The 23199-nt window shown below is 43.7% G+C and overlaps 1 protein-coding gene across 24 annotated transcripts in view, besides 3 other annotated features; it reads left to right on the top strand.

Moving 5' to 3' along the window:
- FAM107B (family with sequence similarity 107 member B) overlaps positions 1 to 23199 on the top strand; it is a 256341-nt gene that overhangs the window by 195113 nt on the left and 38029 nt on the right. For 4 of the 24 annotated variants that reach the window (NM_001282700.2, NM_001320735.2, XM_047425822.1 and 1 more), the window contains exon 1: positions 7410 to 7556. The exons of 12 other annotated variants lie outside the window; for them this stretch is intronic. The gene's annotated coding sequence lies outside the window, so the exon portion shown is untranslated. Of the gene's footprint in view, positions 1 to 7409; positions 7557 to 7595; positions 8023 to 23199 lie in introns of those variants that run through there. 8 more of the 24 variants (NM_001282703.1, NM_001320737.1, NM_001282699.1 and 5 more) reach the window with 4 other exon arrangements.
- Positions 7299 to 7348: a silencer, noted in NCBI's record as "silent region_2160". NCBI's record gives its function as "represses an Ori minimal core promoter by ATAC-STARR-seq in GM12878 lymphoblastoid cells {active_cell/tissue: GM12878}" and the evidence as "EXISTENCE:reporter gene assay evidence [ECO:0000049][PMID:35858748]".
- Positions 20148 to 21025: an enhancer, noted in NCBI's record as "H3K27ac-H3K4me1 hESC enhancer chr10:14600759-14601636 (GRCh37/hg19 assembly coordinates)". NCBI's record gives its function as "activates a minimal SCP1, AML or CMV promoter by ChIP-STARR-seq in primed H9 embryonic stem cells {active_cell/tissue: H9 hESC(primed)}" and the evidence as "EXISTENCE:reporter gene assay evidence [ECO:0000049][PMID:30033119]".
- Positions 20661 to 20955: a silencer, noted in NCBI's record as "tiled region #15534; HepG2 Repressive non-DNase unmatched - State 23:Low". NCBI's record gives its function as "represses a minimal TATA promoter and a strong SV40 promoter by Sharpr-MPRA in HepG2 cells {active_cell/tissue: HepG2}" and the evidence as "EXISTENCE:reporter gene assay evidence [ECO:0000049][PMID:27701403]".

Raw genomic sequence — 23199 nt, 5'->3', positions numbered from 1 at the left:
CCAAATGCTGGGATTACAGGCATGAGACATGTATGACTTTTAACACACTCCAAATCTTTTTTGGAAGGAACTAGTGAATGACAGAACAGTTTTATCCTCCTCTTATCTCCTAATATGGGGTATTGAGTAACAAACTTGGTTTTGAAATTCTGTTGCCCTTGTGTGCTTTTACTTGGGTAATGCAACTAACAGAAATTTCTGGATTTGCTTAAGTAGAATTTCCATTTCTTTGCTTGATAAAGCCCAGGGTTGCAATTTTAGGGCAGTTACCAGCCAGGTAGAGAGGTAGGAACGGTTTTGAGATGACCCTCTCACTGGTTTCCTCTGTTTATTCTAATTGTGAGATTTTGGTTACTTTGCAATAGAGGGTTTAGATATGCACTGCTTTACAGCAACCGGGTAACTGGCTTCTGAAGATTGAATATACGGTTTCTTCAGCATTGCTGTTTCCAAAAGAGTTTAGTTTGTTTTCATTCATTGACTTAGTGCCTTCCTCTGTTCAAGGAATTCTACTAATTGGTATGGGTGTTTCCAAATGATGCTTAGCTGGCCGACCCTTCTTTGGAGAAGCTTACATTTAAAAAAATTAATTTTCACAATTGGTATGTCAAATTGGTAATTATTTCAGAAGCAAATTAAGATAACATCTTAGAAAATCAATTTATGGACTTGAGCCGAGTGCTTCATACAACGAATGGGTTTTTTCTAGGTGTTTGTCACCGGGAATTTTCCTGAGAGGCTTGTATATATTAATAGAAAAGGAGTGTAGCTTTTTTTTCTCTTCGTTATAATTTAGGTAAAGTCTTACAATGTGTGAACAAGGCTGTCATTTTTAGCTTGCGTTTGAACGAAAACATGCTATACTTTTTGGAGACCCTGATTGAGTAATCAGTACTTGGGGTAGTGATAAACCACAGGTGAGCTAACTTGCGGCATTCTTTAGATTAAAATTTGATCGTCATTGTTTGTTCCCAACAATGATTTGCCAGGAATGGTATGCATACTTCTCTTCTGCCCCATTCTTCCTTGTTCTAATCTCTTCTTAAATAGTTCTGTTTTTCTTTTGCTGAACAGGAATTCCCAAGTAAATAATTCTTTCTTGTGACCGAGGGTGCAGTTGGTGAGGTCTTCTTGCCTTCTGAATGGCCAGTAGCTGCTTCCGGACTCCGGAAAATATGTCGCAAATGAAGACTGCTATCACTCACTCTATAAACAGGACCAGAAAGTGAGCAATTTGGCAAGGTCCCCTCTCTCGGCAAGTCTGATGGATCTCTTTTTTTTCCCCAGTGAAGGCTTGTCATATTTATAAGCCAGTAGTGTTATTTCAGAATCTCCGAAGGAAATGTGCCTCCGTGATAGGGAAGCAACTTGTTTATTCTAGACTTTTCTTCACTATATTTCTAACGTTGAGGAAATTACTCAAAGAGGTTTGGCAGAGTGAAGACAGATGAGTGAGACTGGATTGAGTTTATGGAATGTATTAATTCAACTGATGTTTGTTCAACTCCAAATGAAGGATCCAGCATCCAGGGCACAGATAAGTGCAGGATATTCGCCCTCAGGGAACTTCCTGTCATTAGGGAGGCTGGCACCTGCTTGCAGTTAACAGAAATGTTAGCGTAGTTGCTCATTCTGCTTGGAAGCGGAGTTCGTTACCATTTCATTTAATGAACTTTTCCAAATGGAAAGAAAGCTTTGTACCCGCACGCCCTGGCTCTGGATGTGGAGGTTGAGAGCCCTGTGAAGCTCTTATTTAAACATGAAAATGGGTGTCAGCTTTAGGACTAAGTTCCACTGGGAAGAACTGGGGGAAGGGAGCCATTTTTAGGTGGCATTAGCCATACCACCTTTAATAAAAAACTTCGTGTAACTCAATGTATTTCCTGGCTGGCTGCAGTTACAGAAATATTAACTGTCCTAAAATGTTTATCTTAAAGAGAAACGACTTCAGTATTAGAGAATGCACAGAAAACTAGATTATAAGTAAATACTTTTGTTCACATTGGGGGTTAAAAACATTGGGCCTGCTTCATCATGGTTATTAATGTGGACCTGTGTTGTTACGTTATAAGCAGAGGTTTACAGATCTGAGTTTCAAGGCTTGGCACTTGGAAATGAGCTGAGATTAGCGTTAGAGAACAAGGCCTCTCCTGCCATCTTGGGAGCTGAAATCCCAGGATCTCAACCTGAAAATCAGGGGCTAACACTCTGATATTGATCTGTATACCTTCGGAAATACAGTTTTTAAAAAGAAACAATTTTTAAGACTAGAACATTTTTTTTTATTTCTTCGTACTATGCAAGTTTATATACGTAGCTGTAAAAGGCAAACGTAAGCTCGCTTTTTTAAAGATTCACGTGAAGCTGTTTTCTTTCCGTGAACGGAAGAGTTTGACAGAGAAACACCTTGGTAAGCACACATCGAGAATACGTTATTAGAACATGATTCTTTCTCCATTGGGCCCCATGAGGCCAAGCAGAAAAATCCAGCAATAGAATGCAAATATGAGCATGCTTTCTTTAAGATGTATCATAAACTGTTTTCTGTCAGAGAATGGAAGGATTTGACAGAGAAACACCTTTGTAAGTACACATCGAGAATACGCAATTAGAATATTGTCTCAGTTGGGCCCTGTGAGGCAAGGAGGCATATCCAGCCATAAAAGGCATGCATGTTTTCTGTAAGATTTCATCATAAGCAGTGTTCTGTCAGTGAATGGAAGCATTTGAATAGAGAAACTTCTTTGTAAGCATACATTGACAATATGAAGAAACAATTATTGATCAAAAAAGCCATGCATTATTATGTATTTTTTCCATTCTGCTTGTAATCAGTGTTGCTGTTTTTTCGTCGTGTTTAATAGAGGCAACACATTACTGATCCCAAATACTCTGGGAAGATTTAATCTAAAATACCCCTTCTCTATTCAGGGATCTAATCATTTCTGTTCTTAACTAGGTTTTCATTGGTATTCTCAACTTTTCTAATAAAACGGTTTTTGGGACTTGCAATCTTCTTTCATTTTGTAGTAAGTAGCCTTATTCCTGTTTTATAGATAGAAAAAAATAAAGTACAAAGATGTGTTTGCACTGTTAGAATTCTAATGCCACAGAATACTACTGTAAATGTTTGGTTCCAATTGTGCCAGTTTTACTAATATCACATAGTACAGAAAGCCATAATTTTGTGAGAGTTTTCCCACTGTTCACTGCTTTCTAACTCAGTGGCTTTTTGTTGTTGTTGTTGTTGTTGTTTTTGAGATGTAGTCTTGCACTGTTGCCTAGGCTGGAGTGCAATTGCGTGATCTTCCCTCACTGCAGCCTCCGCCTCCCGGGTTCAAATGATTCGCCTACCTCAGACTTCTGAATAGCTGGGATGACAGGTGCCCACCACCACGCCCAGCTAATTTTTGAATTTTCAGTAGAGACGGGGTTTCACCATGTTTGCCAGGCTGGTCTCGAACTCCTGACCTCGTGATCCACCCGCCTCGGCCTCCCAAAGTGCTGGGATTGCAGGCGTGAGCCACTGCACGTGGCCAACTCAGTGGCTTTTTAAAAAATCGTGGTGAAATATACACAACGAGGTAAACCATTTTAACCACACTGCCGTGCAACCATCTCCACCATCCATCTCCAGAACTTTTTCATCATCCCAAACCAAAACTCGGTAACCATAATACAATTCCTCCCCATTCCCTTCTCCCAGCCCCTGGGAAGCAGCATTCTACTTTCTGTGAGTTTGACTCTTCTAGGGAGCTCATATAAATGGAATCGTACAGTACTTGTCTTTTTGTGACTGGCTTATTTCGCTTAGCGTGATGTCTTCAAGACCTGTCTATGTGGTAGCATGTATGACAATTTCCTTCCTTTTTAAGGCTGAAAAATGCCTAATATCTGTGTTGTATGGATAGACCACATGGCTTATTCTTTCATCCCTTGCTGGATCTGACTCAGTGTTTTTATACTGAGGGTCACAGCCCGCATTTTAAAACGTAAAGTAGATTAGGAAATGTGTGCCCATATGGGGTATTTGTATTGTTTTGTGAGCCCGTGCACACATGTGTCTGTCTGCATTGTGATGTAAAATGTTTTTCTGGTTGTCAGTTGCTGTTAGAAAAGTTTGGAAGCTGTACCCTAAAGATCTTTTAGATGTTAGGTTTCCCTGGCCCCTGTGCCTGCCTGAGCTCCTTTGTGACGTGTGTGGTATTCCCTTGGTGTCCAGGCCATCACACAGTGCTTTTTCTTGACTGTGTTTGTATTGCTCTCCATTGAAAAGCTTCTTGGCCGGGCGCAGTGTCTCATACCTGTAATCCCAGCACTCTCAGAGGTTGAGGCGGGCAGATCTCTTGAGGTCAGGAATTCGAGACCAGCCTGGCCAACATGGTGAAATGCCTTCTCTACTAAAAATACAAAAATTAGCTGGTGTGGTGGCACGCTCTTGTAATCCTAGTTACTCAGGAGGCTGAGGCAGGAGAATCGCTTGAACCTGGGAGGTGGAGGCTGCAGTGAGCCAAGAGTGCACCACTACACTCCAGCCTGGGCGATAGAGCGAGACGCCATCTCAAAAAAAAAACAAAAAAACAAAAAGCTTCTTTAGCGTGTGATCCCCAGTACAGGGAAGTACAAGCTACTTAAACTAGAAATTCTAAAAAATATGCCACCTGCTTTATTCAGTGCAAGAAGCTTAACCCCTTTAGTGCTTATTATTGACTCATACAGATAACTTAGTTTTATGAGCTACTTTCCCAATGGTCGGTAAAGTCAGTGTTTTCATTAAAGGTCAGTATGAAAGACTGTTAATAAAGGAGGTCATATTTCTTTTCCTGGTGTGTTCTCCGATGGGGCACACTGTACCCTAGGGTAATATGATTTTTGGAATAAAACAGGCCTGGATTCAATCATCCTGTTATTTGCTAGCTGTGGCCAATTATACACGAATTACGAAGAGATTTCACCATCTTCATACAGAATTTATAGGGCCATATATGACTTGTGTTGGGGGTGGAGATGCTTTGGGGAAAAGTGTGAATGTAATGTTATTAAAAAATCAAGTAATTTTATTTCCTACCCTTCATACTAACAGTATAATTTCGTAATTCTTTTTCTAGGAGTTGACTGAAATGTACTAATAATCTGTGAGAGGTCTGTGTGCTAAGCCTTTTCTCAGTCTCGTCTCTTGGCCAATTGTGGTCCATTGGATAAAAACAGTATGTCTGGCCTGCTAGTCTGATGGGCTGCCAAGAGGTGGACAGTTGTGATCAGCCACATGGGCTTTGTTCTGACACTTGGGTGACGGTGGAAGCTCCTGATTGGCAGGAACTCTGCAAGTGTATGTGGGAGCAGTGTTTCCCAAATGCTGTTTGCCCAGGGCACATTTGTACTGGTTTGCAAAATGTCCTACTGAAGATCCTTGTTAATAATGTGTAGGTTAAAACAACAACAAAACTAGGGTTCAGTTTTGAGATATTGGATAGATTATATCCACCGTGCATACATATTGTGATGTCTCAGGGTACAGAATGTAAAGAGTAACAGTTCACTCTTACAGATTCAGTTGGGAATAACTGTGTCAGGATGCCTGAGGAATATCACCTTGTTATCTATTTATTACATACTAATTCAAGATTTTTTCTCAGGGTGGCATGCATATTCAGTAGTGTTTGTGTATTGTACTAAACCCTGTTCTTACTGAACTGAGATTTTGCATTTTTTATAAGCAGAGCTTGGAAGCTGAACCCTTAAGTGTCTACCCTGGTCTTGTGGCATTTCATGTTGAGAGCACCAAAATATTCCCTGTGTCATGGGAAGGGTAGATTATGAGAGAAAGAGCAGATAAACTCCTGGGCCCTAGGGTGGTTTTTTTTTTTTGTTTGTTTGTTTTTATATCATGTATCCACAATGATCATTTGGAAGGAATCCAAGTGAATCAAGTGTGAGTCAAACAGCATTGTTTATAGATGCTGTTGTAGTCTGTTCTATGCTGCCGTAGTGGAATACCACAGACTGGGTAATTTACAAAGAAAAGAAACTTATTTACTTATTTATTTATTTTGAGATGGAGTTGCCCAGGCTGGAGTGCAGTGGGGTGATGCAGCTTACTGCAACCTCTGCCTCTGGGGTCCATGTGATTCTCCTGCCTCTGCCTCCCAAGTAGCCGGGACTACAGGCATATTCCACCATGTCCTGCTAATTTTTTTTTTTTTTTTTTGTATTTTTAATAGAGATGGGGTTTCACCATGTTGGTTGTCTAGGCTGATCTTGAGCTCCTGACCTCAAGTGATCCTCCTGCCTTGGCCTCCCAAAGTGCTGGGATTACAGGTGTGAACCACCACACCCAGCCAAAAATGTGTTTCTTATAGTTCTGGAGACTGGGAAGTCCAAGGTCGAGGGCCTGCATCTGGTGAGGGCCTTCTTGCTGCATCATCCCATGGTGGAAGGTGGAAGGGCAAAAGAGGAAGGGGGCCGAAGTCTTCCATTTTATATCCCACTTCCACATTAACAGCATTAATCCATTCATGAGGTGGAGCCCTTATGGCCTCATCACTGTTGCATTGAGGATTAAGTTTCAACATGAACTTTGGGGGACAGAGTGAAACCATAGCAGACAGTTTTCAGAGCTTTCCACCAAGCCTGTTTCTCTCCACAGTGCACTGACTGAGCAGGGCTGCGGCACTGGGAGGTAGCTGGTGTCTGCCATGCACTGGGCTTGGTGCAGGAGTTGAAATGTACTTGTGGGCCAGATGTCACCAAGTGGGCGTCTATATGTGCCTCTGCAATGGTAATTCCACTCTTGCTGCTTTGGTATATATTTGCTATTTCCTAATAATATAGTAATAACAATCTAGAACTGGAAGGAAACTCCTTGTTTTAGAGGGGAGGATCCTTCAGCCCAGAGATCATACAGATATAGTTGGGCAGAGTTGGGACTGGAACTCAAGTCCCTTCTGCTTGTCGTTTTTTTCCAATCTAATATATATGTATATCTACATACACCTATACATAACATATATACACACACACTCTAATATATATATATATATATATAAATTTTTTTTTTTTTTTGAAGAGATGGGGTCTCTGTGTTACCCAGGTTGAAATGCAGTGGCTCTTCACAGATGTGATCATAGTGCACTACAGCCTCAAACTCCTGGGTACAAGCGATCCTCTGGAGTAGCTAGGACCACGGGTGCACACCACCGCACCTGTCTTCCGCCATGTTAAACATAACCCTTCCCCATAGAAAATTCTTAGCACATTTTATAAAGTGGGCTGTGATGCCATGAATCCCAGCCTCAGGAGGGCCATTCTGATTGGTCTCAGGCCTCCATGCTGTAGGTGTTGTGGTGATGCTCTAAGAAGTGCGAGAACTTGTCCTCCTCCAATTGGAGGTTGACTCACGCATGCTTCCTGCAGTCAGGTTGTGTGAGTGTTGCAACCTGGTACCCACCCAGGGCTGGAGAGTCTGCGTGCATATTTGCTTACAAGTAGAGGAGCTGATTTTTGTACAGACAAGTACATTTCACCAGTGCTGCCAGCACGTTCTCTTGGTCTGGAAGGTCAGTAACTGGTACCAGAGTTGGTACGGTTTGTTTTTCATTGTTTGCTCTGGCTTCTGTGCCGGATGAGGTCATTCAGTTGCATACAGTTCCTGCTTTCAGAAGTTGCTAGAGTGTTTCTCTTTGAACTTGAACTGTGGCTCTTTTGATATCCAGAAAGAGAGTTCTTTGTGGGGATGGTTAATTCTTGTTTTGGGTGCTTTTCTTCACCGCTCTAAGGAACTACCACAGTCAGAAGGTGCATTCTTACTGCGATCTTTTTATTTGCTACCTTGGGCTTAAGGAGCCTGCCTATATCTACTGAGGTGAGGTTAGGTCAGTCTCTGTAACCGTTCGTCACTTAGGCCTTGATGGGTGACATGGATGGGGATGACTTCCTGGGCTAACTCTTCTCTTGCTAAAGGATGATTTTTCACCACCTTGAATGCCCATGATTAAAACATAAACAAGAAAATAGATATCTGAGGTAAGAATAAACACTGGGACTTTTCTATGGCTGTTGAATAATGTAGTCCTTCTCTAGAAAATGTTGTGTGAACTTAGACTTGTTAACACAATAGCAGACTTGTATGAGACTAAATAAAAATTATATGTTGTTATAGTGAGTGGTATTGAATAGTGTGTCTTTGCCAGGAAGAGAGCTTTGTAATAGGCTGTGTCTTGTGTAGTTGTGAACTATTTTTTTTTCCTAAAATTTCTTCAGATGCCAACCATGTCTGTCAAACTCTGGATGAGTCGCCTTTTACTTAGCTTTTTAAGAACTCTTTTTGGATTCACTAACTTTTATCTGCATTATTTTATCCATGCTCTATTAAGTGTCTAGGATCCTGATAATTATGCATTTTCTCTGAAGATATCTATTTCCAGTAAAATTTGACTATCTAGTGAAGATTGTAGGCCTGATAATATATTTTGAAGTACTTGTTATGATCTGAATGTGTGTGTCACCCCCAAAAATGCATATGTTGAAATTTGAACCCCTTATGTTATGGTTTTAGGAGGAGGGGCCTTGGGGAGTCCTGAGAATGGGATTAGTGCTTCCAGGAGAAGAGACAGGAGAGCTTTTTTCTCACTCTCCCTGCTGTCCACCATGTGAGGACACAGCCAGAAGGTGGCTGTGTGCCAGTCAGGAAGGGAGCCCTCACCAGACACCCGATCTGCTGGCACCTTGATCTTGGACTTCCCAGCCTCTAGAATTGTGAGAAATAGACAAGTGTTGTTTAAGGCCCCCAGCCTATGGCAGCTTGTTATAGCAGCCTGAGCTAAGACATATTTGATTTTAGCAAAATAGCACTTGATTTGAAAGCATTCTGCTCATTGCCATCACCTCCTCCTTCACAGTTGTGGATTAAAAAAAAAAAAAAATGAACACATGACCACAACAAAACACTGATATGTGCTGAGTTTAATTTACTTCTTTTTTTTTTGAGATGGAGTCTCACTCTGTCATCCAGGCTGGAGTGCAGTGGTGCAGTCTTAGCCCACTGCAACCTCTGCCTCCCAGGTTCAAGCGATTCTTCTGCCTCAGCCTCCCAAGTAGCTGGGATTACAGGAACTCGCCACCATGCCCAGCTGATTTTTGTATTTTTAGTAGAGATGAGGTTTCACCATGTTGGCCAGGCTGGTCTTGAACTCCTGACCACAAGCGATACGCCCACCTCAGCCTCCCAAAGTGCTGGGATTATAGGCGTCAGCCACTGTGCCTGGCCTTTAATTTGCTTCTTATTCCTTGGTTAGGATTAGGGAGAGAATGTCTTGGGTGGCCACTGTGGAAACAGCATTTCCAGTACCTGTCGGTACTTGTCTAAGGAGATTTAATGCTCTCCTTCCTCTTGGGCAGTCATTCTCACAGTGGCTATGGCTTGTCTTGCTACATACACTGTGTAACCACCCTGCCCTGCTGGGCCTTGGTGTACACAGATATTGGGTAAAAATCTAATGTTGACCTAGATAAACATCACACACACACACACACACACACACACACACACACACCCACCACATTTTTTTGGTAGGTACGTTTTCAATGTCGTTTCATTTCAGAAAAAATATGGGCTACCCTTATATTAACATAGGACACTCAATTACCTTGTATGCATTCACATTTATTTACATACAGTTTTTTTCTGTAGCAATGATAAATGCAATCCTAAGTAATATTGGCTTAATATTTGGATGCTTTAATTTATAAAAGCTTTCCCTTTCTATGGCTCATGACAGTGATTTATATATTTATTGGTAGCTCTGTTTTAGAAAAGCGACTGAGTTGCTGGGTGTTTCTGCCCTAGTTTCTGGTTTCCGGGAACCTCTGGGCTCGCCCAGCCTGCCTGGTTGGCTGTTGGCTGAGGCTGGCCAAGGTTCTTGAAACTGTTGACACCTGTGAAGCTCTCTGTCCATCTCAGTAGGCGCGAGAGTCCCAGATCTTGTTTGGGGAAGCACGGCCTTGCATTGAGGAGGGAGAAGGGAAGAAAGAACTTGATTATTTCAGAGAAGAGACAGAGGAACCTTGGTTTCCCTCAAGGTCTTAAGTCTGGAGTACCTGTCACTTCTGCTGACCTGTGAGCTGACTGTGTGAGGGCTCCACCCCTCCAGTCCTGGCCTATTTCCATCTTTCCCAAAACTTGAGAGGAAGGTTACACTGAACAGAAGTACCTGTGTTGTTCTTGAGTTGAGGAATTTTTTTCTGCTATATTTTTTTCTAAATGATGCTAAAGTTTTTGCTGGAACAATATGTTGAGTCTGTCTAGCTTCCGGAGGACTTAGATCACCACATGTTATGATCTTAACGTAACACATGTGTGCATGCATGCATGCACACACACACACATATGTGCACAATGCAAACTGCAGCTCACCACAACACAACATGTACCCTCCCCTTCCTTTCATGGGGATAGGATAACTCGAATCTTCCTTCTGACTTTTATTGTCAAGAAATATTTTCTACACTCTCTATTTCTATATCAGTTGTTGGCAGTTATATCTGCAAACCCATGAGGGTTTTCTGGATTCAGATAACACACATCATTTGTGGAATATGAGGAATTTAAGGAGACTCGAGGGTGGGCAAAGATTTGAATAAACATCAGAACGAGGATGATTATTTGTGAAACAGACCTTTGAGAATTGAGTTCCAAGAGCAACAGACCTTTCGATGAGAACCAAAAAATTCATTCTGTAGCTCAGAAAATTCCTAACTTCATTTCTTCAGGATAAACATGTCATTATACCAAATAGCAATCTCAGTGTGTTAAAATCTACCTATGCACTGTGTCCCACAGACATCGTCAGATGCCAGCTCTCCTGGTGTTGCCATTTATTATGTTGCCGACGATTCTGGGATTTAGGATCCCACCTTCATGCCCTGTCTCTCCCCCTCCTTCCAGGTTCCTGGGACTGCTCTTTGCCTCCCCCTTCCACCCCACCCTCTCTCCCTTCCCCTCCAGCCTCTTCCACCAGGTGCTGTGCTCCTGCCTTGGGATCAGCCAGCTCCCATGCTGCCTCCTTCCCCAGTATCTTCACCTCCTGGTCTAACCCAGAGATCAGCCACCCTTCTCCTACCCGAGTATCTTCACCTCCTGGTCTAACCCAGAGATCAGCCACCCTCCTCCTACCTGAGTATCTTCACCTCCTGGTCTAACCCTGAGATCATCAGCCAGCCTCCTCTTACCTGAGTATCTTCACCTCCTGGTCTAACCCTGAGATCATCAGCCAGCCTCCTCTTACCTGAGTATCTTCACCTCCTGGTCTAACCCTGGGATCATCAGCCAGCCTCCTCTTACCTGAGTATCTTCACCTCCTCGTCTAACCCTGGGATCATCAGCCAGCCTTCTCCTCCAGTATCTTCACCTCCTGGTCTAACCCTGGGATCATCAGCCAGCCTCCTCCTCCCCCAGTATCTTCACCTCCTGGTCTAACCGAGAGCCACTCTCCGAGTTCAGTGCTGCCTTGGCTCCCTTGGGAATGGGAGTGCACCTTCTCCCACCCTGTATGTGCCTTGGGATCTGGAGGCAGGGCTTAGGTTCCTGCCCTCATGGCCACTTTTGGGTCATGACCCTTCCCCTCGCTGCTGCTTTGAGCCTTGTCTCAGTCGTATTCTGTCCTCTACCCTCAGTGCTAGCATTTCGTGGTCGTAGCTCCTCATTCGTTCCTTGAAAGTTTTGGCCCCTGGCTCACAGTCATCTGCTGCAGGGGTCAGTATTTGTCAAAGCTCACCGGGGACTCCATGGCAGCCGGAGCTGAGTGACCAGCAGCCTGGTTTGCCTGAGACTGGAGTGGCAGCAGGAGCTTTTTGGGATGGGGATGTTCAGTCTGAGGACTAAGGAGTTTCACAGGACGCAGGACTTTCAGTGCTCAAACTAGGAGGAGGAGGTTACCCTAAAAAGACACTGTTAATACCAGGAACCGCTTCTGAGCTGAAATCCAGAGATCCTACTCACCAGAAGCTTCTGTCCTTCAGCTCAGCTGACAGATTACAATAAGAACATCAGATTTTTCCCATTCCAGGTCCCTTTCCAACCCCTCTGCTCCTGCTGGACTTTGCCTCTGCTTTTGAATTCCAACATTTCAGCGATGCGCTTGTCAACGCACTGGAATCCCTTACTTCACTCTCCTGGGGGATTGGGCGGCCCACCCATGCCTGTCCCTGGACTTCTGAGTTCTGCCAGAGAAAGTTACACAGTTGCCTCTCTATGATCCTGATCTCTGCCTCACCAGGGCCTCAACACTGCCTGGAAATCAAATTTTCCTCATCAACCCTCTTCCTCTCCATAATGACTTTTCCAACCTCCTCCACACTTCTTAAATCTCTAGGTTCATACTGAGCCCATCCCTCCTCCTCTCATTTCACTCTCGGCAGATTATCTTTCCACAGCTCACGGGACAGTCGTGCGAAGGCCATTCTCTGACCTTCCCACTGCCCCTTTGCAAATCCGCCTGCTCTTGGGCCTGTACTTTTCTCATTTTTCTGTTTATAGTGAAAGAGGAATCTTATTTATTCTCTAGAAATCCATTTCTGCACCACCATTCTCTCCCACCTCCAATTTATTTATTTTTATTTATTTATTTATTTAATTTGAGACAGAGTCTCGCTCTGTCACCCAGGCTGGAGTGCAGTGGCACGATCTTGGCTCACTGCAAGCTCCGCCTCCTGGGTTCACACCATTCTCCTGCCTCAGCCTCCAAAGTAGCTGGGACTACAGGCGTCCGCCACCATGCCTGGCTAATTTTTTTGTATTTTTTAGTGGATACGGGGTTTTACTGTGTTAGCCAGGATGGTCTCCATCTCCTGACCTTGTGTTTTGCCCGCCTCGGCCTCCCAAAGTGCTGGGATTACAGGCGTGAGCCACCGCGCCCGGCCCCACCTCCGATGTAAACCTCTCTCCTGGTATTTCCTTCTCATGAGCATTTACAAGTGCTCAGGTCTCTCCTATCTTACGACAAAAACAGAACCCAAGCTCTTCTTGGAACTCTCCTCTTTCAGTGACCACTTTCTCTTTCCTTCTCTTGATGAAACATTTTGAGAGCATGTTCTACTTTCTGCCTTGTACTATTACCTACTGCTACACAGCAAATGATTGCACACTCAGTATCATAAACAACCTGTGTTGGTTCCCTCACCAGTTCCGTGGCTCAGGAGCCCGGGCACAGCCTAGCTGGTTTCTGTGCTTCAGGCTCTCACCAGGCTGCTGTCCAGGTGGGCGCCAGGGCTGTGGTCTCATCAGAGGCTCGACTGAGGAAGAGTGTTTCCAGGCTCCCTCAGGTCATGGGCAGAATTCATTTCCCTGCAGTTGTGGGACGTGGGTCGCCTGCAGTTCCATGCCGCACAGGTCCTTACTTCCTTTCAGCTGGCAAGGATGGAAGATTGCAGCATGATGGCTTCACAGGAGTGACATCTCATCACCTTTGCTATCTTCTGTTGTTAGAAGCAGGTGACAGGTGAACAGTAGGTGGAGAGGAATGTGGGATCACCTTAAAGTCACTGTGTTACCTACTTATTCTTTCATTCCCCTTTCACTCCTCAATCCATTAGATTCTGTTTTTTATCTCTGCTACTTTAGTGAAACTGATACCAGAGGGTCAGGATTGGCTACAAAATTTTCTGGGCCCAGTGCAAAGTGAAAATACAGGGTTCTTTGTTCAAAAATTAAGAATTTCAAGATGGTAACAGCAAAGCACTAAACGAAGCGTAGGGCCCCTCAGGCATGGGGGCTGTGAAGGTCCCATGCCCATGAAGCCAGTGCTGCAGAGAGGCCTTAGGTCCGCCCTGCTGCGAGTTCCACAGGGCCCTCTGGTTGTGTTCCTGCTTGGCCTCTCAGCAGCATTTGCCAGCTGGGATTTACCACTGTGGAGCGCATCCTCCTCTGTGAAACATCCCCCTGCCCTCTGAGCGCCTGAGACACTCTCCCCTGGGTTTCCTTCTCTCGCTCGATTATCCCCTTCAGCCTCCTTTGCAGCCTCCCCTTCCTCTCCCCACCCCTTTGTATTTGGGTATTTTGAGGACACTTTTGCCACCCTGCTGAGGAATATCAGCAGTTTCAGCCGCTTCGTTTGCTGTAGGATTTTGGCTGTCATATCTACGTATCCAGCCCATACCTAACTTGTGAGCTCAAGCACCTATGTCAGTGCATCCTTTATAGTCTTGCATGCTTTGCAGGTATCTAAAATGCAGTGAGTCTGTAACACATTTCCTTGTTTTCTCTGATCCATTGAACTGGTTCTTCCTCAGTGTCCTCTATTTCAGCACTTGGCCTCATTCTTTCCCCGGGGAGTCTGGGTTTGTATCTGTGTGCTAACCCCAGGCTTGAGTCCCATCTTTCTTCTGGCTCATCTTGTGCTCCAAGCCCATGCGCCTATGTCTGCCGAGGGTTCTCCCCTTGGACTGCATTTCATCAAATGCTCTCCCTGGACTTCTGTGGTCTGTTCTCATGGTGACCTCGGCTTCCTCTGTTAAAACCCAGCACACTTCATTGCTACTCCTTTGTCGAATGCCTGCTTCCCCCAGTAGAAAATAAGCTATGATAAATAAGTCCACGAGGCAGGGAGTTTTACTGCTTTATCCTCAGTGTCAAGACATATGCCTGGCACAAGCTGTACACTCAATAAATACGTGTTTTAATGAAAGAGTTTGTTTTAATTTTCAGCCCAATTTTTTAAAGAATTAAATTGATTTTTTAGAGACAGGGTCTCGCTATTTTGCCCAGGCTGGTCTTGAACTCTTGGGCTCAAGTGATCCTCCTGCCTCAGACTTCCAAGTAGCTGGGATTACAGGCATGAGCCACCATGCCCAGCCCAGCCCAATTTTTCAAGTGTGACCATTTTGTTGTTTTAGAACGAAAGTGTAGAAAATACTATATATGGAAGAGTAGGACAATGGTATAGTAGGATTCCTGTTCTTGAGATATTAGAAATATCTGTAATGTTATAATAGGTTTGGGCCTTTCAGTTGGATTGTTAGTAATTAGAAAGTAAAGCTGTAACAGGAAATAAATGGGTGTTTCCTTATTTCTGTTGCGATCTGGGCACTAACAGGTGGAAGGAAACTGGTGCCATTTGCCCTGCAGAATTCACAGAATTAACTTGTGCAATTTGGGTGGGAGGAAGTCAAAATAGGTGATGATTAACCATGGAGATGAGTGTATTTCAGATACTGTCATCTGAATCAGTTTGCCCTTACCACAGCAAAAATGTTTTTATAATATTTTATCTTTTTTTTTTTTTTTTAAACAAATAAGTGGTGAGGTAGTCATGGTGAGAGATCTGCATCTCTGATTCTTGGGGGCACTGTTTCCTCACAAACCTGCAGTATCTGCTTTGAAAACTATTTTGATATAGAATGGTGAAATGGATCAAGTATTTGGGGGCCTAATTATTCAGAGACTAAATGTGGCCGGAAGAGGAAGAATTCTACCCAAGAAAGCTGCCGCTGATCTGCTCAACGTCTCGGAGCAGTCTTTTTTTAAGCAGAAGTCAGTAACAAGCAAACACAATGTCAATGGATTTATTAATCTGTTAAACTCTTCATTCTGTTACCTGCTGGGTCTCAATCTTTTTGACCTCAGGACCCCTTTACACTGTTTTAAAAAAGTATTTGAGAATCTTAAAGAACTTTTTTTTGGTTATATCTATTGATATTTTACTATGTTAAAAATTGAAACTGAGAAATTTTAAAAGTTCACTCAAAAATAACAAACAATAATAAACCTGTTACATACTAATAAAAAGGCCATTTATAATGAAGAATAACCTTACTAAAACAAAAAAAAGTATGAGATGAATGTTTCACATTGTTTTATTTATCTCTTTAGTGATTTTTTAAAGTGAAAACCAAAAAAAAATTTAGTGAGAAGAGCGACATTGTTTTCCATTTTTGTGAATCTGTTTCATAACCAGCTTTGATAGAAAATAGCTGTGTTCTCATGTCTGCTTCTGTAATCAGTCTGTCGGGGTAGGTTGTTTTGGGGGTCATGTATGCAGAAAATCTAGTTTCACACAGTTACATCATTGGGAAAGGCCAGAGAATTGAAATAACCTTTTCAGATAATTACGGACATTCTTCCTTGATACCACACCAAAACCTGATGAGTGGTAGTGTCTGAAAGGTTAGTTACAATATTCTGAAGCCATAGCAATGATCTTTCCTACTCTGTTACATTAAAATTTGTCTATCTTGCATTTTGAATAGGACGATAGAGGAATAGTTAAGTCACCTATAATACATTCATGTAATGGCAGATTTTGCAGCCATATATTGAAAAAGTTATTACAGGTAAAATGCTTACAAATGTAATAAATTATCTATTTAATATCCCAATTTTGCTAAAAAATGAAAAGAGGTGTGTATTGTATTAGTTGAAAGGAAATGTATCAAAATATAAATATTTTAAATGATGCATTCATGGGGGAAATTTTCTTTATACTTTTCTGTATTTTCCAAATTTTGTGTGATCAGCACATTGCTTTTAAAATCAGAAGAAAAAAAATAAGTATTTTTTGTTACGAGAGAAATGTCTGTTAAACTGTTTCCCTCATCTGTAGGTTGCCTTCTACGTGTAAAACCCCAGTATTTCCAATTTGAGTGGTAACAAAGATCTGTTTTCTCCCTCAAGTTTTTATTTGTTTAACAGACTATCGTAACCTTTCTGTGGCTGTTTTAAGCTTCACAGTTTTTCCGCTTTATTTCAGTAGTAATTCATTGATTGAATAGACAAGTTTTGACTTGTTCAAGAAAAGTTGCATAAATTAAACTTTCACATGTAGCAGAGACATAATTTGCTTTTTCTCATTTCTGTTATAGCTCAGGCAAGTTCTATTTCTTATCTAAGTGAAATGGCAAAAGAATATCTTGTCCTATGGGATAACAGAGCTACTCTCATGGTTGAGAAATAACATGGAAATTAGCATGCAATCGACTTCTGAGTTATTGTGTCTGAGCTGTTTGCCAGTGGTGTGAGTGTCACAGTTTTATGGCTGGAAGTTCAAGTGGCTTCAGAAATGCAAAGGGCAGCTCACATCTGGGGATTAGTTCCCTGCTTACCCCTGGATTTAGAAAGGATGTTTGCAACTAATAATGTGGCTGACGTGGTATTGTCGTAAAGGATTGCTACTTCCAGAATTTTGTCTTTTGTGGACAGGCCTCCAAATTTGATGATCATCTGTTTTCCTGCAAGTGGAAGATTTCATCATGTTTGTATTTCTTTGTTTTACATTTCTTATGATATAGTTGATAATTAAGATGCCTACAGAAGCTACAAAGCACCCACAAAGCAGGAAATTAGCAACTCTGCCTCTACCACTTGTAGTAAAGCTTGAAGACATTATCACTGACTTCTCCAGCTGAATGTATTGTTCTGTGGCTTTAGTTAAATGTGTCAGTGACTCTCAGGGTTTAGAATCTCTCCCAAGACTGTTTAGGAAGGTGCATCACCCTTTGAAGTGTAGACTGTGATGGAAAACTACTTAATTGCATATTCTAATATTGTTTTAGATTAAAAGACCATTCTGTCCTCTGCTTAAAACAATTGAGGATATTATATTTGAGGGCATCCCTACTGGTTAATATCATCATTACATTTGAAAATGTTCAAATTTACTTTCCATCACTAAGTATGAGTTGAACTTTTTGGAGTAGAAAATGCACTCTAAGGCCGGGCGTAGTGGCTCACACCTGTAATCCTACCACTTTGGGAGGCCAAGGCGGGTGGATCGGTTGAGATCAGGAGTTTGAGACCAGCCTGGCCAACATGGTGCAACCCTGTCTCTACTAAAAATACCAAAAATTAGCTGGGCGTGGTGGCACATGCCTGTAGTCCCAGCTACTCGGGAGGCTGAGGGAGGAGAATCCCTTGAACCCTGGAGGCGGAGGTTGCAGTAAGCCAAGGTCATGCCACTGCACTCCAGCCTGGGTGACAGAGTGAGACTCTGTCTCAAAAAGAAAATAAGAAGAAAATATACTCTGAGTATACCTAATGGTTTATTCTCTTTTATTGTTGAATCCACTATTTACATTTCTTTCTTTCTTTTATGTATTAGACTGGACTAGGAAAGGTTTACAGATCTAAATAAGGAATGAGGAGTGTTATTATCATTGTATTGCCATGACCACAAACTGCGGGGCCTCTCGCCCTTGCCCTCCCCCCTGTGGTTTTGAGGGTAGGAAGCCTTACCATAACCCAGTTCCTGATCATGCCGCCTCCCTGCCGCTTACCTGGTCAGGCCTCTTCGCTGTCCCTACCTACCCCAGGCCTCTGTGTTTGCTGCTCCGTCTGCCCAAAGCTCTTTCCCTTGGTAGCCCTTGGCTATGTCCCTCACTTCCTTCAGGTGTCTGCTGTCTTCTCAGCGCGGTGTTTCATGAATATCCACAATAGTGCACCCTGCCACTCCATTGCCTTACCTGTATTTCCCTGCATGGCACTTTGCACGGCCTGATACTATATTTCCCTCGGTTTGTCAGTTGGCTGCCTGCCCCTGAATGCAGGCTCCCAAGAGGGCAGTGGCTTTGTGTCCTTTGCTGCTAGGCCCATGTTGTTGTGAACAGTGCCTGGCACTTAATAGACACAGACTAAATACTTGATGAATTAATGGGAGGATGAATTCACCAGATTCCCTCTTGTGGGTGACTCTACACAAGATGGCATTTACTCGCCAGGTGTCCGGCTCCCTTCAAAAGACAGAGAATGATGGCTGGTTTCGTTGTAGCTTGACTCAGTGGCACACCCTGTGCCTGACACCCAGTTGACAGATGTGTAGGGAACAAAATTATGACGGGATGGCCACACAGTTGGCTGTTTGTACTCATTGCTGCCAGCTGTCTCCCAGAACAGTCATCTGCTCTGTAGGGGGAGAAACAGGGACATGAAAAGCCCTGGAAGGTTGTCAGGAAGCAATTTTAAATTTCTAATATGTAAACATCGGGGCTTTGGCATATTTTGAACCATTTTGATGATAGGAATGGAGGTGGTAGGAGCCACCCTGATTAAGTTCTTGTTGAGAATAAACTGGTGCACCAGACATTTACATAGGCTGAATCAATGTTGATGGCAGCCGTGTTTTTAATCCATGGGCCTAAAACAGTGTCCCTCATACCTGTCTCTTGCTGAGGCCCCTGTCGCAGGTGAGCCATGTCTGACTTCCGAGCCTTCCATCGACTGCTCAGTCCACGTCTTCAGCCCTATTTCCCAAGCTTACCTAGTGAGTCCTCCTTGACTCAGGCTGGTTCCTCCATTGTTTCTGCCACCTGCAGGCCATTGGTGCTCCTTGAATACCCTGTGGTGTCATCGCTGACTCGTGCCTCCAGGGCTTTCCCGCTCTGACGGCTCTGTGTTTCCTATTGCTTCATATAGCTTGCTTCTGAATTAGCATGCGATATGTGACACTCATATGTTATGTATCTTGGTTTAGTTTTTACAGAAAGATGAAAGACTCTTAAAAGGGATCTTGGAGTTGTTCTTGTACATCTTTTATATCTCCTAAGCCTTTGATGGGCACTTGTTCCAAATGGGAAAGAAAAAAAAGATGAAAAAAAAAATAAGCCACCCAGAATGCAGATGGGACAAACTGTTGGTGTTAGAGCATGGTGGTCACCCAGGCCTAGAGTGTGGGGTACACAAGGACCACTGAACTAAAACTCTCTGATGGTCTGGATCAGGCTATTGAGTAGAGCAACGGGTTGTAGAGTGCCTGGCACGCAGGTTGCAATGAGATTGGGGAAGCAAGGGTTGTGCGTTTGTTAATTCAGAGATTGTATGAAAATGGAAAGAATTAGGAGGAGGTTGAGGTTTATACTAGTATTATTCTCTCCACATTTAGAGAAGGCTCTTACAGTTCCTTTAATCCAATACTACACAAAAAAGTCCTCTGAGAGGCCGGGCGCGGTGGCTCACGCTTGTAATCCCAGCACTTTGGGAGGCCAAGACGGGCGGATCACGAGGTCAGGAGATTGAAACCATGGTGAAACCCCGTCTCTACTAAAAATACAAAAAAAAAAAAAAAATTAGCCAGGCGCGGTGGCTGGCGCCTGTAGTCCCAGCTACTCGGAGAAGGCTGAGGCAGGAGAATCACGTGAACCCAGGAGGCGGAGCGTGCAGTGAGCCGAGATTGCGCCACTGCACTCCAGCCTGGGTGACAGAGGGTGACTCCATCTCAAAAAAAAAAAAAAGTCCTCTGAAAACTGAGTGAGAAGCTGCGGGCTTATAGGACTGAAGTTTGGTGCTGAAATTGCTTAGGGGACCCTTTTCAGTTGCCTCCTCTTTTTTTTTTTTTTGTAAGAGAACCGGGGGATTTAAATCTCCCTGGTATGGTTTCCATTAGAATGGAAGCTCTTTGGCAGGTCTGCCAGGACCATTTATCACCTTGTCCCTGGTACTCAGACCTCGGTGCTGGCAAAGCTGGGCTCATGAAGGCTGGCTGCGCAGGTGGGTGGCTGGCTCACGCGCTTGGTCCTGGAGGTGGGGGAGAAGAGATGGTCCACCAAATGGTTCTTGCAGTTCTCCCCGTCCTGCCCTCTGGACATGGCTGTGTTGTGGCACAGGCCGTGTTGTACTTGTGGCTGATCTTGATCGATTCTCTTCTCTGCTCCCTGTGCTGGAGCTAGACACCAGGTGTTTTTTTTTTGTTTTTTTTTTTTTTTTTTGAAGTTCCACAGGTGATTTTGATGTGTGAGCCGTGGTTGAAAGCCACAGCTGGACTGCGTTGGAAGGGAAATGGAGGTCAGCTTAGGCCAGTTGGTTCACATGGAAATCAACAAAACCAGCGTGGCTTTGAAGGATGTATAATTCTGTTACTCTTTGTTGGACCCACACAACTCAGCAGTTGAAATTTATTATTAGTTTTTTTTTCTCCTGCGTTTTCATCTCCTAATTTGGGCTCCCCTTCATATAGAGCTTTTGGAAGCAAGTAAGAATTCAAGTTCATCAGGCACATTTTCACTACACCTGGCAGAACATATTAAGGTGTTGTGTTTTATAAAATCCAGCCAGAAACTATAGGTGGTCTCCAGCTCCACACACTTAGCAAGGCCCCTGCTCAACTCCCCACCCAACCCCAGTTTTCCAGTCCTTCCTGCGTTCACCAGAGGCACAGTCAGGATCACCTTAGACGCTGAGTTCAGAAATGGAGAAGGAATACAGTTAAAAAAAAAAATCAAGATCAGGTGAGCAGTAGCCAGATGGCTTCTCCACACAACTCTCTTTCTGGATGCTTCTGGAAATTGCCATCCAATTTTGGTCATTCTTTTGGCTGTATAATAATTCAAACGGTGCTTTGTGAATAAGTTACCTTTTAAAAGTTATGCATTTTAGCATCTATAGGAAGGTCAAGGAATTATTTTACACCTCAGGGTGAAATAATTTAATTAGGTATCTTGTTTACCCTGAGTCTTCTGAAAGCTAGAGGGAGCAAATTGGAGCTTTTGAAAGAGTGTGTGTGCGTGTGTGCGTGTATGTGTGTGTGTGCGTGCACGTATGTGTGACTGTGCGCGTGCACGTATGTGAGTGTGCGCATGCACATGTGTGTGAATGTGAGCACGTGCACGTGAGTGTGTGCACACACACACTGGTGGGGAGGCAGGTGATGATGGGTTGTGTCATGAATGCCCAAGTCTGGCGGTGCATTTAATGGAGTAGTCCAGGGAAGCAGGAGGAAACTGAGGAACAGGGAGGGCAAGCTTGAGGAATTAAGGAATTACCTGGACTCACGGGGAGGAGCTCAAAAGACGAATTCGATCTTTTTCTAAAAACATTTTAAACAGTAGTTTGCCTGACTCCAAATCAGGAAGAGACAGCTTTACCTCATCTCTCCTGCCTCCTAGCCTGTGGGCTCCATTAGCAAGGGATGAACTATCGAGTAAGAGCTGGCACTCTGGCATCAGGTAGACCTGGCTGGGACCTGGCTGGGTCCTGGCTAGGCCCCGGCTAGGCCCCTCCAATGGCATCACCATGGGCAGGCTGCTAATCCCCCTGGGCCTCAGCTACTCCTCCGTCAATAAGGATAATAATACCTCCCTCGCAGAACTGTTGTGAAGGTTGAGATGAAATATGAGAGTGTTTAAAGCAGTGCCTGGGATGCAGTAAGCACTTCGAATGTTAACCAGTAGTAGCAGTCATATTTTTGTGGATTACCTGGGAACCAAACCATCATCATTGATATAATTTCTATTACCAGTTTTAAACAGTTAAATGACAAAGAATCCCATTTTAATCAAGACATTACAGTAGAGCACAGACCCAACCTGGTTGGGTACTTAGTAGGGAGAAATAGAGGCTAGAAATTAATAATTATGCCCAATACCAGTGAACAGCTGTTTTCGCACTGTGACCAGTTTAGTACAAATAAAAATGTTTATAGACTGCATCTTTTCTCCATGCACAATTTATTGAGGTATTTCATCACTTTAACAGATGATAATTGAACATTTAGAATTCCTAGCCTTGAAGATCCAGCGAGGTACAAACCAGAAATGGCCCTGGCCCCTAGGTAGCTAAATATCTAGAGGGGAGAAGATAAAAAACACACATGGGGCTGGCAATAAATTAAACAATTACAGATGGTGAGAGTTGGGAAACAAGCTTAGGACAGAGACTGACCACGGAGGGACCCGTGTTGGATTGTTGATCCGAGAAGGTGATGTTGAAATACAGACTGAGAAGGTGAGGAAGAGCCAGGGGTCAGGAGAAGTGTGGGAAGGGGGCTGGCTTGGGAGGGTCATGCGCTCCAGGTGGGGACATCATGTGCACCAAGACATGCAGCCCAGAAAGAGTTTGGTGTGTTCCAGGAATGAAGGCAGGCCTGTGTGGCTAAGGCGCAGGGAGCAAGGTGGCGGAGAGACTGGCATGAGGCATGAGAAGCAGGCCCAGGTCAGATCAGGTGGGGAGTGAGGGCCGCTGCCAGGGCATTGGAGAAGCTATTGAGAGGCCCTGACAATCCCATGGGGGGAAAGTCCATTCTTAGTGCACGTTTCCTGCTTTGAACTTTTTCTATTCAATAACGAAAACCTGGGTGCTATATTTGTTTTAGCCACAAAACTATCTGGGTATCTTTGAGAAGTGGCACTTGCTGAGGTGGCCTTCTAAATCTTTGCCTGCTGTTCCATGGCAGGATGCCTTGTGAAGCCAGGTGTGGCTTGTGGCCTAGATGGACCAGGGAGATC

The sequence above is a fragment of the Homo sapiens genome, chromosome 10, assembly GCF_000001405.40.
Source record: "Homo sapiens chromosome 10, GRCh38.p14 Primary Assembly".
Lineage (NCBI taxonomy): Eukaryota > Metazoa > Chordata > Mammalia > Primates > Hominidae > Homo > Homo sapiens.
This window is presented reverse-complemented; position numbering and strand designations above follow the sequence as displayed.